Genomic DNA, 18,794 nt, shown 5'->3' with positions numbered 1-18,794 from the left:
AGTATGGAATTTCCTATCTAGTGGGGTGGCAGAGTATATTAAAAAACCAATATATCAGTTCCAAAGAGTATTCACAACAAAAAGAGACAGATGTTGGCATTTGTAACTGATGCCCAAGAAAAATACTGCCAAAGTCAAGGCAGCTAAGAATTTCTGTCTGCTGTTTCACAGGGAAATAATGAAATGTGATGGTGATATGGCATATGCTTGGCTACATCCATGATAACAAGAGCCACCAAGGCCTGGATTGGACAACTCCAAAATTGCATTTCATCATCTTCTTTTTCTATTTGTCATCATTTGCATTATCAATCTTTCTTCTGGACAAAGACAAGATTTTTTGGTCCCAAGTTTTCCCCTTATTTCCAATATTTCAGTATTTTTTTTGTAATGCTTTCCTTTTCTTTTGAGAAAGTGTCTCATTCTGTTGCCCAGGCTGGAGAAGAGAGGTGATCATGGCTCACTGCAGCCTTGACTTCCTGGGCTCAAATGATTCTCCTGCCTCAGCCACCTGAGTAGCTGAGACTCCAGATGCATGCCACCATGCTCAGCTAATTATGTATTTTTTGTAGAGACGAGGGTCTCCCTATGTTGCCCAAGCTGGTCTCATACTACTGGGCTCAAGGGATCTGTGCCTGCCTTGGCCTCCCAAAGTGCTGGGACTACAGGCATGAGCCACCGTGCCCAGCCTATGCTTTTCTTTTAAAAGAAATACATCCATCAAAGCAAATTATTTTGTGTTTGCATGTACTAACTACCTGTAAATACCAGGCATGTTTATTTAGGAGACAGACAAAAGTGGTTATATGGGCCCTGGATGGTTATCTCTTATTTTGGCTACAAAGGAATGAATAAAAATGAACTAACATATAGCTGGTTACTTCTCAACATGTAACACAGTTCATATTTCCATGATTCAAATGTATGGGTGCTACGAAATGTTTTTTTCAGCTTTTTCAATGTATCCTTTTGTTTGTGGCTTAGTCTTTCATTTACCAAATTAAATTTTCTCCCTTGTTTGAGAAAACCGTAGAGTCAATTTTTCACTACAACACAATTTTATGTATTATTATTAACATAGTCTATTATTTCTGGCATTAGATAAAGGAAATCTGTCCAAAAATACATTTATCACAATTCACATCTGAATATGAACTAGAATTACAAATGTTTTCATATCTTTGGTTTAATACAAGAATTTAATAACATTTTAGGGTAGAAAAGAATATGTTCAGATGAATCAAAATCCAAAATTGTATTACTCATTTTATACTCAATGTGCTGTTCTTTCCTTACAAACTTTTAGAAAAGTCATCTGAAATCATCTAGAAGCTTAAAAAGTTTGATGCTTCTGTTTTCCTAAGGAAATGTCCACAAATTTGTAAGCCAAAGACTTATAATAAAACCAGTAGTATTTTATCCTGTTGTAACGGTACTATACTACTTATACTATTTTAATTGTACTATACTATTAGAAGATTGACTTCAAGTACTAAAACCAATGAAATATGTATAGGTTGCCTTAAAATATCCTACCTATTGTAGTTATATCAAAAAAATTTAAGTCTTTATCTTTCAGAGTTCTCTTTCATACTATGGTTGAAAGAGATACATAGCCTGAAATTTGCTTTGAAATGATACATGGGAGTTGGGAGAGAATGTAGGGATATGCATGAAAGAAGACTGACCATGTGCTAAAATTGTTGAAGGTGGGTAATGGATACTCAGGGGTTCATTATACTTTTCTCTCTAAATTTGTTTGGTTTGAAATTTTCTGTACAAGTGTTGTTGTTGGCCAGGCGCAGTGGCTCATGTTGATAATCCCAGCACTTTGGGAGGGTCAGGCAGGAGGGTCACTTGAGCCCAGAAGTTTGAGACCACCCTGAGAAAATAGCAAGACCCCATCTCTACAATGAACAAAAACAAAAATATACCCGAATTTAGCCAGGCATGGTGGCACATACCTGTAGTCCTAGCTACCTGGGAGGCTGAGGTGGGAGGATCACTTGAGCCCAGAAGCTTCAGGTTACAGAGAGCCACTGTACTCTAGCCTGGATGACAGAGTAAGACCCTGTCTCTTAAAAAACGGAGTTTTGCTCTTGTTGCCCTGGCTGGAGTGCAGTGGCGCCGATCTCGGCTCACTGCAACCTCTGCCTCCTAGGTTCAAGCGATTCTCCTGCCTCAGCCTCCCAAGTAGCTGGGATTACAGGCATGCACCACCACACCTGGCTAATTTTGTATTTTCAGTAAAGACAGGGTTTCACCATATTAATCAGGCTGGTCTTGAACACCTGACCTCAAGTGATCCACCCGCCTCAGCCTCCCAAAGTGCTGGGATTACAGGTGTGAGCCACCATGCCCAGCCCAAATTTTTTTAACTTAAAAAAAAAAAAAAAAAAAACTAAAAAATAGTCTTTTTTATAGTAGAGAAAATCAACTTTAAGGTGGCTAATTCTTGTTCTGCATTATTAATTCACAACAAAGGCTAATGTAAAGGAAGAAATTATAATGAATTTTAGAGGAGTATATATTTTGAAACAAGTTACACACCAAAAAAAATTATAACATATTAATCAAATGTCATAACACACAAGTTTACTATCTTTTAAATTTTCCCTAATAAGCATATCTGTTAAGAGCAAATAGTAGACATACTGTGAAATATGCTTGATATCTATGAAGATGGTGCTAACATGACCTTCTTAAAAGGCAGCCCAGTAGATCAAGATTAATTAGCTGGTATACTAGATTAGCTTTTAAAAGCAAGTTTGGAACTTTCAACTCCTATGCCTTATTAAAACACAACTTACGAGTCTTAGAAACAATTCTAATCATTACCATGTTAGAGGATCAGATTTGAGTCAAAAACTTGCTGTTTAAAAAAAAGTAATACAAAGGTATTAACAAATAGCAAAAGACCATCTCTAAGTTTTGGGTTTCTTGAGGAGTTGGAGTTTCTGGCATAGGCACAGTTCTACTTAATTCCCATCCTTCCGAAGGGTTCACACTTTTACTTTGACATCATTCCACCAGTCCCTTGTGGCTCTGGCCAAATCAAACTCTGACTTGAAGTAGTTTAATGTCTAAAGTTTTAGTGAGAATAGTACCAGCTGCTTTACCAGAGTAATGTTCATCTTGCAGTTTTGCTCAACCTGAGAAATGTTTTAAAACGTTAAGCCATCTAATTTAAGCAGATCCAAGCAAAAGTATTTTAGCTTATCCACATATTTGTGTTTGCTTCACTGGGTCAGACAAATCTGGTCTCAAGTTACTTAAACAGGATCAGTGATCACACAGTAATGAGAATGATGGCATTAGGCCATATGAAAATTTCATTATTTTATGTTTAGTTACACCCCATAAATGCCTACATGCCTAGCAACATAGGACAAGCTACACGGTCAGGATCCCTAAAGAGTTGTTAACTTACAGAGGCCAAATTTAAACTCTGAAATATTAGACAAGTAAAAGTAGAATATCCCCCATTAAACATATTCTTTATTAAATCAGTATTCATTGAACAGTTATTATATGCCAGGCAAGTGGGGGAAAACACAGCTGAAGTTCTACTGTCAAAAAACACCCAAGCTAAAGGACAGAGACTACAATAAACAAGAACAGAGAAGTATTTATATCAAGGATTGATAAATGTTATGAAGAAACCTTAAGCAGGGTTGATGGTGATGGGGGTGCATACCATTCTTTTGAGGGTACTAGCAGAGGCCACTGATCAACATGAGGAAGTCACGCAGATTATCTCAGGGAAAAGTGGTCCTGGCACAGGAAAAAGCACAAAGACCCTAGATAAGAGCATTCCTAACACCATTTTAGGAACAGTGAAAAAACTGTGTTTCACTCAAAGGTAAAAGAGAAGATGGTTCTGCAAAAAAAAAAAAAAAAAAAAGAGTGGATATGCTGAAACCAGGCCCACATCCTCTCATTTACCTCTTCATATTATACAGCATCCATACACATATTCATATTCACGGCTAGCACATTAAGAAATGCTTACTACTGGCTGGGCGCAGTGGCTCACACCTGTAATCCCAGCACTTTGAGAGGCCAAGGTGGGTGGATCACAAGGTCAGGAGTTAGAGGCCAGCCTGGCCAGCATGGTGAAACCTCGTCTCTACTAAAAATACAAAAATCAGCTGAATGGGGTGGCGCATGCCTTAATCCCAGCTACTCAGGAGGCCAAGGCAGGAGAATCGCTTGAACCTGGGAGTTGGAGGTTGCAGTGAGCTGAGATTGCACCACTGCACTCCAGCCTGGGTGACATAGCAAGACTCTGTTCCCCTACAAAAAAAAAAAAAAAAGAAAAAGAAATGCTTACTATTGCCTTGACTGCAGAAAGGCCTAGACTGGAAAGCCCTGGCTAGACTGGCCTGAGTCAATGTAAGGAAACTGTGTTAGTAGCAGCCTAGTAACAAAGTCACCCAGCATGTAGCCGAAATTAAAACACCAGAAGCAGCAATAGGGATAAACATTAAACAAAGAAATAAGATTTCCTGTAAGCAAGTTAACCCAAGGAACAGATAAGTTTTTTACAAAACTTGTAGTCTCATTTGAATTAGGGGCAAAAGAAACTTACTGGGGCTGGGTGTGGTGGTTCATGCCTGTAATCCCAGCACTATGGGAGGCCAAGGCGGGTGGATCACTTGAGGTCAGGAGTTCCAGACCAGCCTGCCCAACACAGTGAAACACTATCTCTACTAAAAATACAAAAATTAGCTGGGCGTGGTGGTGGGCATCTGTAATCTCGGCTACTTGGGAGGCTGAGCCAGGAGAATTGCTTGATCCCAGGGGTGGAGGCTGCAGTTGCAGCAAGCTGAGATCGCGCCACTGTACTCCAGCCTGGGCGACAGAGCAAGACTGTCTCACAAACAAACAAACAAACAAACAAACAAATAAAAAACTTACTGAAGCACCCTGTTTCCCAAGGTAACATTTTTTCTTCTCATTTCAAAAGTTAGCACTTCCAAGTCATTGTTCAATCATTTCAATGAGCCTGCCCAGTCCACTTTGTTTGTAAATCTGCAACGCCTCCTCCATCCACATCCCATTCTGCCTAATTCTGCTTTTCTTTTTCTGGTATCACCTCCCAACATACTAGATAATGTACAGTTATGTTCATTTTCTAATTAGCTGTCTCAACCCATTCACCTCAGGATCTTGGTTTTGTTCTCTCATGTATCCCAAGCCCCCAGAATAGTGTCTAGAATATGAGAGGTGCTTCAGTTAAAATCTCTGAACTACCCATACCCTACGGCAACCATTCAGTCTGGTATAAGCCCATGTCCCCAAGTTTTCTGCAAAAACTTTTGGCAAAAGTATGCTCTGGGAAAATGATTCTAATTTTTTAAATAATGGAAAATATAACCTCCCAGCATAAATGTTAAATCCCAAAGACCCAACATCCTTCTTCAAAGTATTCTATCATTAAACCTCTTTCTGACTTCATTTGCCAATTCTATTTAATCCTATACCCTCAACTTCCCAAAAGGATTTTTCCCTGAAAGCTTATGATTAATAGCACGGTCTCTGAAGTTACACCTCCTGGGTTCAAATCCTGCCTCTGCCACTTACTAGCAACGATATTGGACAAATTAATAAATCTCTCTTTGCTTGAGTTTCCTTGTCTATATAACGGGCTAACAATAGTACCTACATTCTAGAATTATTATGAGAAGTTAAATGAGATAACACTATAAAATTATTAGGCCAGTGCTCAGCACATAGTAGGCATGTAATAGACACTATCACCTACAATGGCAAAGGCTCAGTTCTCAGCCCTTCATTCTTCACCCTCAAAGACCTTAATCTCTGAGATTCCACTATTGTCTCTATACACATGTCCAGTCAGACTCCTAAACTCACCTGTCTGGTCTTGTCAGCTAAGGAAAAATACTTTGGGGAAAACAGAAGCGTTGGAACAAAGGAAACCTGGTGGGACTTTAGATCTGGTGCTCAAGGAAGTTCTTTGCGAAGAGATGATATTTAAGGAGATAAGAATGTCAAGAAGCCAACACTGACAAGATCCAGGTCAGTGGTTCTCAAAATCTCCTCACTGGACAAGCAGCATAAGAATCACCTACAAACTTGTTAGAAATGCAAATTCTTGAGCTCCACCCAAGACCTATGGATTCAGAAACTCTGGAGTTGGGCCCAGCAACCTGTGTTTCAACAAGCCCTCTGGGTGGTTCTGAAGTACCACTGAGCTACAGCAAGATCCTGCCAGGGAAGGGAACTGCCAGGCTTGTTCCTGCCTTGCGACATTTGCACTTGCTGCTTCCTCAGATCTCAGGGAAGTGCACTTCCTCTAGGAGAAAATTTTCTCAATAATTTGCCTGCCCGACTCCTTCACCCAAGAATGTAAACTCCACAAGAACAGAGATTTTATGTGGATTTTTTTGTTGTGTTTTTGAGACAGGTCTCACTCCCTATGCCCACACTGGAGTGCAGTGGCACAATCATGGCTGACTGCAGCCTCCACCTCCCAGGCTCAAGCGATCCTCCCACCTCAGCCTTCTAAGTAGCTGGGACCACAGGCGCATGCCACCATGCCAGGCTAATTTTTGTATTTTTGTGGAGACGGGGTTTCACCATGTTGCCCAGGCTGGTCTCAAACTCCTGAGCTCAAGCCATCAGCCCATCTCAGCATCCCAAAGTGCTGGGATTATGGGCACAAGCCACCACGCCTGGCCATTCCCTATCCTTTAGAGTGGAGAGACTAAACTCCATGATCTGTCATCAGAAGCCCTCTAAAATCTAGTACCAACGCTCTGTGGTACAGTGTTACTCTGGTGAGCTCCCCAATGAACCACACCTTTGTGTAGTTTCCCTCCCATGACAATTCTGCAATGGACCAGGGACTGCTTTGACCAACAGACTGGCAGAAGTGATGCTGTGCCAGTTCAAGGCCCAGCCCTTAACTGGCCTAGCAGATTCCATTTCCTCCCTCTTAGAACACTTATTCTTAGGAGCTCCTTCTTTGTACTAATCCCTTATTCCACTATGCAACATTAGCAATAATTCAGATCAGTTTGTATGCAATCTACTTGACAAATGCTACCATGATCCCCTTGAACTCAATATAATTTTCCCCACTAAGTCCCTGAATTATTTTTGTACCTCTGGAATAGTCTGGCAAGTATTAATAGCAGTTATTTCATTCATTCATTGAATGTTTAATGGCACAATGCATCAGACATTTTTCTCAGTGCTGACAATAAAGTTAATAATCTATATGCTATCCTATATGCTAGACATCACTCTAAATACTTTTCTAAGTTTTTCCATTTAATCTTCAAGAATTCTAAGTGTCCTCATTTTACATAAGGAAACTGAGGCACAGAGAGGTTAAGAAACTTGTCTAAGATCATACTGCAAGTGGTGGAGTCAAAATACAAACTCAAACATTATAACTCCAGAGCTTATGCTATCAACTACTATACTAACCTGCCTTGTACAGATGTGAACAAGACAAAGAGCCCTGTTCTCATGGAACATGCATTCTATCAGTGATGGTTAGTGGTATCGGGAAAGGGTGGTAATAAACGATACATATAAATCAACAAAATTACTCCAGAGAGTGAGAATGCTCTGAAGAGGTAAAACTGTCATGTGTCAGTGATGTGCAGTTACTTTAGACAGGGCAGTCAGAGAAGGCCTTTCTGAGAAGGTAACATGTGGGGAAAGACCTAACAATCAGCAAAAGCAGAAGCAGCAAAGCAAAGACCTGCAAAGAAAACTTCAGTTAAAGAGAATAGCCGGTGCAAAAGTCCTAAGACACAAATAATCTTAGCATGTTTCAGGAACAGAAGTAAAGCCAGTATGGCTGAAGGATGGTGGTGGGAGGGGAATGACATGAGGTTGGAGAAATTAGCTGAGGCTTAGATCATGCAGGGCTTTGTAGGCCACGATAAGTCATTCGATTTTTTTTTTTTTAAGATGGAGTCTTGCTCTGTCACCTAGGCTGGAGTGCAGTGGTGTGATCTCAGCTCACTGCAGTCTCCGCCTCCTGAGTTCCAGCTATTCTCCTGCCTCAGCCTCCCGAGTAGCTGGGACTACAGGCACCTGCCACCATGCCCAGCTGATTTTTGTATTTTTAGTAGAGACAGGGTTTTGCCATGTTGGCCAGGCTGGTTTTGAACTCCTGGCCTCAAGTGATCCTGCCTCAGTCTCCCAAAGTGCTGGGATTACAGGTATGAGTCACCACACCTGACCAAGTCATTGGATTTTACTGATTAACACTGGAAGGTTCTAAGCAGGGTAATGACATTACCTGACCTATACTTTTGAAAAGTTAATTCTGGCTGTTGCATACTTAATAAATTACAGAAGGCCTAAAAGGAGGCAAGAAAAGCAACAGGAGGCAACTGCAATTATCCATGCAGGAAATTATGGATATGGAGATTGAACCAACAGGATTTGCTGAGGGACTCAATATGGGAAGGAATGAAATGAATCATGGATGGCTCTAACCTTCTGGACATAAGCAATGGAGTAAATGGTGATAATAATTACTGAGGTGGGGAAGGCTAGAGGAGGCCCAGGTTGAGAGGGTGACAATCATGTTTTGGATATGTCATTTTGGAAATACCTATTCAATATTCAAATGAAGATGTCAGATGCTAGATATGAATCCAGAGATGTAAATTTGAAAGTCATCTCACATATATGGCAACTACACCTAGGGTCAGTGGAGAGAAAAGAAAAAAGGACAGAACTCCAAGTTTCTGAGCACTTCAACATTTAGAAGCCAAGCAGAGAGGAAGCAAGTGCATTACCCTCTCACCCTCCAGATCACAAGTTCTTTCAGAGGCAAGACAGTGTTTTTTTTTTCATTTTTGTGGCACCCTGCAGAACTCAGCTGAGAAACAGAAACTGAGAGATGGCCACTACATTTTAATGAGTGATTGCATGCTTGTCACTTGATTTCTCAAGCTTTCACTGCAGAAATATAACTCAAGGAGATACAGGTAACACTGCCTTAACAATTGCAGGTACTCAAATATTTGTTTAATGAATAAAAGAAAACTGTGTTTTGGTAGACATACTTTAGTACTCATTGTTCCAGAGAACATACCAAGGAAAGGAAGAAACAAGTAGTAGCCCATATCCCCACCCTGCTAACCAAAGATAATCACAAACTTACCCTTCATCTTGGTCCCAACTACAGGGTAGAGGGGGAATGGCATTAGAGGCTGCAACAGGAAGAAAGGGGCTTCCAATTCCCACACTGAAGCAGAGTTCTGGCTTTCATGATATAAGTATGTATTAAGCACCAACTATATGCCATGGATTAAAGTAAATACTAAGTACTACAAATATAACAGCAAAACACATAGGGGTTCTTCAAATAACCTCCATTCTGAAGAAGATACGTATTACATAAACAATACATAGGTATATATTTCTAAGAATATGAAAGTAAAATAAAATATTCTGTGAAAACATATACCATTGCACAAAGCAACAAGGAGTGAGGGTTGAAAATACTGCAGGTTTCTCACATGAGATACCTTAACAAGTCAGTCTGGGAGGTGGGGATAGGGTGAGAGTTATCTAAGTGAAGGTAAGACGATGTATGAAAACCTTAAGGTAAGAAGGAATTTAGGATGATTCAAAGAATTTAATACAGGCCAGTGCGAGGCATGGTGGCTCACGCCTGAGAGGCCAAGGCAGGAAGACTGCTTGAGGCCAAGAGTTCCCGACCAGCCTGGTCAACATAGCAAGACCTCATCTCTACAAAAAATTTAAAAATTAGCCAGGTGTGGTGGCACATGCCTGTAGTCCCAGCTACTTGGGAGGATCACCTGAGCCCAGGAGGTCGAGGCTGCAGTAAGCTGTGTTCATACCACTGTACTCCACCCTAGGCAGCAGAGTTAGACCCTGTCTCAAGAAAAAATAAAAAAGAAAATAAATTAAAAAAAATTGGTCAGTAAACGCAGAGCCATACAGAGCACATTACAATGTGTGTGTGTGTGTGTGTGTGTGTGTGTGTGTGTGTGTGTGTGTGTGACAGGTTCTCACTCTGTCGCTCACACTGAAGTGCAGTGGCACCATCACAGCTCACGGCAACCTCCACCTCCCAGGCTCAAGCCATCCTCCCACCCCAGCCTCCAGAGTAGCTGGGACCACAGGCGCACGCCACCATGCACGGCTAATTTTTTCTATTTATTTTTTGTAGAGATAGGGTTTCACCACGTTGCGTAGGCTGGTCTCAAACTCTTGGGCTCAAGCAATACTCCCACCTCAGCCTCCCAAAGTGCTGGGATTACAGGCGTGAGATATCACGCCTGACCATATTACAGATGTTTAAAAATGTGACCCTAATATGTAGGAGTAGCCATGGAAAGGCTTTAAGCAAAGGACCAAGAGCAAACTTGTAGATCTGTGTTTTTAAAAATCACTCTGGATGGTATAAGAAGAATGAATTGAAGAGAGGAAAGAAAAGGTCCAAGATGACTAAGTTAGGAAGCTACCACAGTTGTCCAAGTGAAAAATAATGGTGGCTTGGACCAGCTGGAGCAGTGGATACAAAAGAAGCAGACAGTTTCAAGACATTAGATTCAAAACAGTAGGTCTTAGTGACTGAGCACACACAACTCCCACCATCTGGCCTGGGCAACTAAGTGGACAGAGGTATGACTACTGAGATGGGCCTCACTAGAGAAGCAGAGGTGTGATGGGTGGGGAAAGCATATCATTAAGCTCAAGTAAAAGGTCAAAGAGGTAGTTGGTTATGTGATCAGGTTTTCAGAAGAGTCTGAGGTCCTGAGAAGAGTCTGCTCAAATATGGGCATCTCCACTGAGATAGTATTTAAAAGCATGGACGTGGATGTGAGTCCGCAGGAGAAAGCAAGGAATGAACAAGAAATTTATCAATCCCAAGCCCTGAGGAAACAGTAACATGCAGAGATTAGACAGAAGAGGAGTAAACACCAGTGAAGAACAGGAAAAAGCGTTGGGCCAGAAAAGTAGGAGGAAAACCAGGCAAGTACAGTGCTATGGAAGTGAAAAGGAATGTATTTCAACTAGGTAATGGTCAACGGTGACAAAGAACACTTAAATAAGGATATTAATGATGCTTAGGTTTCCAGGCCAACTCACAGAAACTCATTTCACATATAGGTGGATTACAGCATTCCACTATCTTACAATAAAGCAGTGCAGTACACTGGTTATCACATAGGCTCCAGATCTGCAATGCCCAGGTTTCAATCACAGCACCACTATTTACTAGCTATGTAGCTGTAGGTATAAATTACTTCATGTCTCTATCCCTCAGTTTCCTCATCCATAAAAGGATGGTAAAAAGAATGCCTACCTCAAAGGATTTTTATAATGAATTTTGATAAATGAATGTATGTATTCATTTATTCATGATAAATGAATTTTGATAAATGAATGTACGTGTGACTTAAAACAGCTAGCACAAATTAGTTGCTAGTGATGTAAATGACAGCTACTATTACTTACAACACGGTTTCCATGGGAAAAAACTTTCTGAACTCTAACAGTGGAAGTTTGTCTGAAATAACCTTTCATTAACTTGAGATTGTTCTTACGCCTTACAAATTATGATCTATAAGGCCTTTTCCCAAAAACCTTGAGGAAAACTCTAGATTTGAAATGTATCAAACAAATGTCCATCATATAGAAACTGACAGGTTTTAGAAGAGCTAATCATTACTTTGGTTTTTCAGAGGAGTATTTATCATACTCATTATACCTCATACTAAAAAAAAGTATGCATTAGGAATTCTAAAAACTGGTGCCAAAAGTTATTTCAAGTTAGAAAGGCAAAAAACAGGCCAGGCACGGTGGCTCACACCTGTAATCCCAGCACTTTGGGAGGCCAAAATGGGCGGATCACCTGAGGTCAGGAGTTCAAGACCAGCCTGGCCAATGTAGTGAAACCCCATCTCTACTAAAAATACAAAAATTACCAGCCTGGCCAATGCGGTGAAGCCCCATCTCTACTAAAAATACAAAAATTAGCCAGGTGTGGTTAGCTACTCAGGAGGCTGAGGCAGGAGAACTGCTTGAACCCGTGAGGCAGAGGGTGCAGAGAGCTGAGATCACGCCGTTGCACTCCAGCCTGGGCAACAAGAGCGAAACTCCATCGCAAAAAATAAAATAAAATAAAATAAATAAACCTATTTAAATACAAAATATTTCCATTCCCTTACTTTCTGGTGCATATTCAAATACGAACACATCGATTATCACCATAAAACAGCCTGCCTCTTCCTGTTGTGACCAAGATATAAGTATCAAGTACAGAATGCGGCAATGGATCTGCAGACTCTTGATGACCTTCTTATTTCCCAAGCTATGCAAAGGTATTTACAACATCCAAAACTGCACCCCAAAAGGTATTTCCAACTGCGTGGTGTTCAGCAAAGGACATGTTCATTCATTTAGTTCCTAAAACGAACTGAAATTAGCATAAATAAATGAAGATTTATATGGCCAGTCCTTATCCCTGTACTTTCCAAGTACCTAGCAAGTACTCTGAGAAATATTCAAAAATCTTTCTATAAGCCCCATTTAAGGTATAATGCTGGAGTTTCCCACTCTATTTTTCCACTGTTAGTACAATAAAACTACCTAATAACTAACAGAGCTGTTGTATTCAAAAAAGTATTGTTTCAAACTCATGAAAAGCTGTTTATCATGTACCTTCCCATCAACTGATGAAAATGATGTATTTCAAGACCAAGAAGGCATAAAGTAGGATGTTAGATCCCTGTCGGCAACAACTGAATGTCATTACCATCTGTCAGCTTCTGAATAGGTTACAGGAAACAAGGTGACAGACAGGCTAATTCTTTATGGATAAGTATCCATATTACATCATCACAACTAGTACTCATTTGCACCTTCACAAGAAACTGCCACAAAGGGGAACAAAAACATTCAACTGATATGTGCATTATGAAAAAGCTTTTTAAAATGGTATAAAAATATAAATAAGCTTCTGAAGTGTAGAATATTTAGACTTACAAGGCATATTTCAGATTTGCCATTTTTGATATAACTGAAATCAAAGGGAATATTTGCACAGTTTGAGGAATAAAATGAGGTATAATTCAGAAGTGTAACTCTGTACAGATGGCCTGATCCCAATACAAGATGTTAACAAAGCAGGCTGGCGGGGGAGGGGGGTAAACCTGCATTTTCTATGCTGTATTTTAGCTGATTCCCCCCACCGCTTATTTTTTAAAAAAGCAGGGGGAGAGGGCATGAGGGGTAATATTTAAGATTCAATAACTTCTAGTAAACAGAAAATAAATCTCCTTTAGATTATGTGTGCCAAGTGAATCTACTTACTGTTTTCAAGTGTGTTTGGGAAGTCATTTCGTGTTACTCTGATAAATAACATTTGGAAAATATGACAAGTAGATTTTAGTTTCTTGCCTCAGAAGTATTCTACTAAAAGAAGTAACTAGGTAGTATTTCAGTTCCATTTACCTAATAAATATTTTTCATTTAAAAGATAAAAAATGCGGCACAAATACCTATCATGCTGTTCAATGATGAGAAAGTAATTTTCATTTGTAAATTATCCTAGTCAATGCAAAAAGCTACTTGAAAAAGATAGTCAAATTACCATCAGCAAGAAATAATGGGTGAAGTGCCAAACGTCTTTCATGAAACTCCTTAAAATGGCTTACTTGTATGTAATACAAAATTATGGCTATTTCTGAAAGGTTTCAGCATTTAATTACTTAGCTCCAAATTGGCACATCACATTATTTTTGTTAACTCCCAAGTCTTGAAAACAAAGGGCCTAAAATTTTCTGAGAAAGCTTATATTCCTATTCTTGAAGCAAATTTTTCTCATTCTTTCACAATCGTCCCAATGGACAATCTAAGACAAAGACCAGCTACCCTTCACACTTATTTGCTCAATCATGAACGTAGAACTTTCGTAAAAACAAAGAAGATAACCTGGAACACGGTAATGTATAAACTTAAAACAAAAGTTCACTTCTGTCGTGAAAAATAATGAAGAAATCTGATGAGATCATAAAGCCACGAAGCTTCCTGTTGGTAGCTGAGGATGAAGTCATTAGCAACCCAGGATTCCCTGGTCCATGTAATCAGAAGCTGCACCTACCAGATTCTGTATTGTTCGGGAGAGGTGGCTTTAAAACACCCCGCTCACCAATTCTCCAAACCAGACCACGCCTTCCAGTTATCATTCAAATGGGACCGTTTCACAGTGTGGCACTACTACACATTTCCCGCGAGCTTAAATATCAAGTAGGAGTCAAAATTTTAGATTCCCTTGGTCATGCAAGATGAACTCTTGAACCCCACGCTACATAATGCACCCGGACCTTAAAGGCCGAGATGGAGAAGCATGCTTTGGTTCTTCAACCTTTACGGCCTTCACTACCCCCACCCCAACCCCCGCCCCATTTCTTCCCAACTCTCAGTCACCCCGAGGCATAGAAGGCAAAGAAAGATTCCTTACTTCCTGCTGTTGTTAAAAGGGGAGGAAACCTAAGAGCAACTTTGAACGCGTGGAAGAAAAATCGCCTAAATCTTGGCCACCAGCGCAAACATATGTCACCCGGCCCTGGAGCCGCGTTCGCGCCCTGCCGGGCCCCCTCTTCTGCCCTGCGCCCCGGGGATTCTCCCGTAGCCCAGCCCTCCCGGGCCCCCCAGTGTCTCCGGGACGCGGTTCCGCGACTCTTCCTCTCCCGCCTCCGCAACCCTCACACGCCGGAGTCCCCAAGACCGCATTGTCGGCCACCCAGGTTCCAATACAATGGATCGCCACTGCCCCAAACTCTCCGGCGCCCCCTTCGGACCCCCGGCGCCAATCCTGGGTCTCACAGATCCCGAGTTCAGCCACGAGCCCAAACTTCACCATGTGAGAGCCCAGGACCCAAGAGGTGACGGAGCCCCACGACTCCCGCCCAGCTATTCCTTCACCCGCCGTCCCCAGGCGCGAATCCTGCACCGGGCGCCCCCACCTACCCGCGACCACCCCGTAGGAGTCATCAGCCGCCTCCCCCGAGCTGGCCGAGGGCGAGCGGAGGGCTCCCCGCCCGGCCCAGACCTCTGGGCGGCGCTGCAACCGAGCGAAGGCCCCAAACGCATCCCCGGCCTTTCCTGGTCCACCGCGACCCCGCCGCCCACCCTCCCTACCTGGCCTTGAGGCTGGGGCTGCTGCCGCTACTGCAGCTGCCACTGCTGCAGCTGCTGCTGGCGGCGGCGGCGGCGGCTCGGGGTTCGTACGCCCAGGCTGGGGCGGGGGGCTGCGCAGCGGCGCTGGCGGGGACGGGGGCGGCGGGGGGCGCGGGCGGCGGCGGCGGCGGCGGCTCGGTGAAGCCCGAGGTCGCGTAGTTCCTGTCCATCGTGGGGGTGGCGTAGGGAGGGCGGGCAGCAGCGGGGGATCCTCCAGGGCTCCGTGTGACGGGGGCGGGCAGGGAGAGGGGGCGGGGGAGGAAGAGGGGGCGGCGGCGGTGGAGGGAGCTGCCCCCTCACATGGCCCCGGCGAGCAGGCGGGAGAAGGGCGCGCTGGCGAGTCTGGGCCGCAAAGACCCGGGCCGCGGCGGGCGGCGAGGCCCCAGCTGGGCGTCAGGGAAGCGGAGGCACCCGCGGCCGGGACTCGCGGCGACGGCGGCGGCGGCGGCGGCCGCTGCGCCCCATGTTGGTGGATTTCCCAGGATGCACCTCCCGCCCCCCTCCGCCCCGCGGCCTTGCCCCGCCTCCCCTCTGAGCCCCGCGCTTGCCGCTCGCGGGGCTGGCGGGCGGCCGCGAGGCCTCCGCCACCGCAGGACGCTTCGCGAGGGACAGTTGGGGCCGAGAAGGCGCGGGTCCTGCGGGGCCCGGCCGACTTCAGGGACTCCGAGGGGCGCCCGCCAGCCGGAGCCCGCGAACCGCAGACTTCCCGCCTTCCGCAGCCCGGAAGGGAGCTGTCCGCACTCGCCGCGGCCCGCGTGGGAAGGGACCGCGCCTGGCTATCGCCCCGCGCGGGGGAGGGGAAGTGGAGTGGAACCCAGCGTAGGGCGCTGCTCAGGGGTAGCCGGGTCAACGCTTTGCTTGGAGCTCACTATTTGACCCTTCGGGTTATTTTGAGGGACTCCAGTACTCAGTTCCCTGATCGCGATTTCTTTCTCTGCGCCCCAATCCAGAAACAGCTGAGCGAGCTCTTTTGCAGTTCCGCTTACTCCCTCCCCAAAGCTTGCTGGGCTAGAGGACCCTTTTCCTGCTGTTAGGGGAGATTTATATTCAAAGAGATTCAAATTCAAACGTATTATTTTCCAATCCTCGCTGAAAGGGCCTTTCCCAAGGGCTCTTATTAACTGTCCCCACCCCCACCTTGGGGATTTTTCTCGCTCTGGGTTTCAGAATCTTCTATCCCAAGATAGATAACCACCTCTTCATTGATTAATCCAACTACCATCTGGATGACTTTAATTACAATAAATTTAAACTCACCATGCACTCTGATGTTGAGGGGTTTTGTTTGAGACTTGGAACTTCAGCAGGACTCTCTCCCCAAACATTTCCTATCTGATCTCCAAGCTGCTTGGTGTGCGGTAATTTAATGACTATTTGCGGTTCTTCTGTTGCATAGCAGAGTTGTATTTCTTGTAATAACTCACAAGTATTGAAACTAGGGAATCGTACAAATCATCGTTTGGCCCTTGGGCCATAAATTTAAAGGTTAAAATAACAGTAAAATTTCTATTTAATGACCACCTCCTTTTAAAAATCAATATTGGTTTAACACCTATTATGTGCTTAGCACAGAAATCTATCCCTCAAGATAAGCATAACATAAAGGTTTAAGCAAATCAGCCGTAGTGAAAGACCTAATAAACTTGATACGCTATCTCTGATGACCATTGAAAAAGTTTAAACTTTGGTAATAATCTGGTGTTGGATCTGCTATGCCTTGCGAGATTAATTTTGTTCTGGAAGATCCTGTTTTCCTCCTGGCGCCTACATCCTTTTGTTCCTATTCATTCCTTTTTGCAAGTCTTTCTGCACCTGTGATGCTTGGAGCCTGGTCCCCGGGTGGGGAAGCAAGGAAGTGAGTAGTCGTTATTTACACATGAATTCAAACGTGTAGGCACAGCGACTTTGCCAATTTTATGTTAATTACAAAATGCATTTACTGAGGATATCTTTGAAAAGTGGTTTTTCTTTGAAAAGGAATTTGCGAACTAATCTGAGTTCATGCAGAGAAGTAACGTAAATCTTCATTACATTTATTTTTCTTCCTGCAAACTGGAAATGTGGGATCTAAATTAAAAAGTTTTCACAACTAGCTATTATATTTATAAGTACTTTTGTGAGCGCTAAAGTTTTGTCTCTATGAAAAGTATAGGAAATGGAGTGGCATGCTATAAATGTTTTATGACACTTAGTTTGAGATACCCACAACTGGCACTCAGAGTGAGTTACGCAGGCAATACCAAACAAGTGGCAATAAAACCTTTATAGTCCCTCACACCATTATGTAGTTTGTTTATGTCACATAAATCAGGGAAAGATATTAAGGGAAAATTCTAGTGAGTATTTTTAGTAATATTACTCTGTCACCATATGTTCCTTTGCCATTTAAATGAAATTTCCTTAGTTCACTCTAAATCAGTACAATTATATTTATTTTCAAATGTTACATGTCTACAAATAACATCATTACATTTTTTATCAATACTATTTTTAATTGACAAATCATAATTGCATACATTTATGGGGTACAATGTGATGCTTTGATATATGTAAATAAATCTTTTAAAAATTTTGTACACTTGATGATACTATCTGAAGAATGTCTTCTTCCCTACTGAAAATATACTTCCAGCTCTGTGAACGTTTCGGGATCTCTCAAATGATTCGTAACCAAGCTGCTTCAAGTCTGATCTAGGTAATGTCAAACTCTAGAATGAGCATTGTTGGTCCCGTGTTTTTGTTTGTTCGTTTTTTCAGACAGTCTCGCTCTGTCGCCCAGGCTTGAGTGCAGTGGGGTGATCTCGTCTCACTGCAACCTCCGCCTCCCGGATTCAAGCGATTCTCCTGCCTCAGCCTCCTGAGTAGCTGGGAATACAGGCGCATGCCACCACGCCCAGCTAATTTTTTTGTATTTTTAGTAGAGACGGGTTTCACCATTTTGGCCAGGCTAGTCTCGAACTCTTGACCTCAGATGATCCGCCTGCCTCAGCCTCCCAAAGTTCTGGGATTACAGGCGTGAGCCACCGCGACCTGTGAAATACGTATTGATTTTCTAATGGGATGGGAGTTAGGGTGGAAAATGTGGGGAGATTGTTCATGGGCATGTTCTAAGGCATGACTAACTCTAGACAATAAACTCAGAAGGAAGTGGGAGATGGAGGTGAGGAAGAAGGAAAGAGTTTTTTTTGTTTTTTTTCAGACAGGGTCTCGCTATGGTGTCCAAGGCTGGTCTTGAGCTCCTGGCCTCAAGCAATCCTCCCACCTCAGCCTTCCAAAGTGCTGGAAGATTCCTTCTTAAGTGTAGGATTTACTCCAATTCATCTTAAAACCAAACTGCCTTTGATTTAATCAATTTTCAAATCTTGCCCCGATTTTAGAATTGAGATAGAGTGTTTTGGTTTTTCTTTTTTGGGGGGGAAAGGAAAGGAATATGTAAATGACTAATTGGAACTTCTGAATGGGCATTTTTTTTTCTTAGATAGCGTCTTGCTCTGTCGCCCAGGCTGGAGTGCAGTGGCGCGATTTCGGCTCACTGCAAGCTCTGCCTCCTGGGTTTTACGCCATTCTCCTGCCTAAGCCTCCCG

At 43.0% G+C, this 18,794-nt stretch overlaps 1 protein-coding gene across 9 annotated transcripts in view, besides 4 other annotated features; it reads right to left on the bottom strand.

Moving 5' to 3' along the window:
• QSER1 (glutamine and serine rich 1) overlaps positions 1 to 15,695 on the bottom strand; it is an 87,460-nt gene extending 71,765 nt beyond the window's left edge. For all 9 annotated transcript variants that reach the window (XM_047427611.1, NM_001076786.3, NM_001416037.1 and 6 more), the window contains exon 1: positions 15,172 to 15,695. In XM_047427611.1, the coding sequence (XP_047283567.1) occupies positions 15,172 to 15,380 (209 nt within the window). In that variant the 5' untranslated portion in view covers positions 15,381 to 15,695. The remainder of the gene's footprint in view (positions 1 to 15,171) is intronic.
• Positions 8,723 to 8,912: an enhancer, noted in NCBI's record as "active region_4568". NCBI's record gives its function as "activates an Ori minimal core promoter by ATAC-STARR-seq in GM12878 lymphoblastoid cells {active_cell/tissue: GM12878}" and the evidence as "EXISTENCE:reporter gene assay evidence [ECO:0000049][PMID:35858748]".
• Positions 14,923 to 15,322: a silencer, noted in NCBI's record as "silent region_3228". NCBI's record gives its function as "represses an Ori minimal core promoter by ATAC-STARR-seq in GM12878 lymphoblastoid cells {active_cell/tissue: GM12878}" and the evidence as "EXISTENCE:reporter gene assay evidence [ECO:0000049][PMID:35858748]".
• Positions 15,403 to 16,022: a silencer, noted in NCBI's record as "silent region_3227". NCBI's record gives its function as "represses an Ori minimal core promoter by ATAC-STARR-seq in GM12878 lymphoblastoid cells {active_cell/tissue: GM12878}" and the evidence as "EXISTENCE:reporter gene assay evidence [ECO:0000049][PMID:35858748]".
• Positions 16,770 to 17,344: an enhancer, noted in NCBI's record as "OCT4-NANOG hESC enhancer chr11:32912708-32913282 (GRCh37/hg19 assembly coordinates)". NCBI's record gives its function as "activates a minimal SCP1, AML or CMV promoter by ChIP-STARR-seq in primed H9 embryonic stem cells {active_cell/tissue: H9 hESC(primed)}" and the evidence as "EXISTENCE:reporter gene assay evidence [ECO:0000049][PMID:30033119]".

Source organism: Homo sapiens, chromosome 11, assembly GCF_000001405.40.
Source record: "Homo sapiens chromosome 11, GRCh38.p14 Primary Assembly".
In the NCBI taxonomy this organism is placed as follows: Eukaryota; Metazoa; Chordata; class Mammalia; order Primates; family Hominidae; genus Homo; species Homo sapiens.
This window is presented reverse-complemented; position numbering and strand designations above follow the sequence as displayed.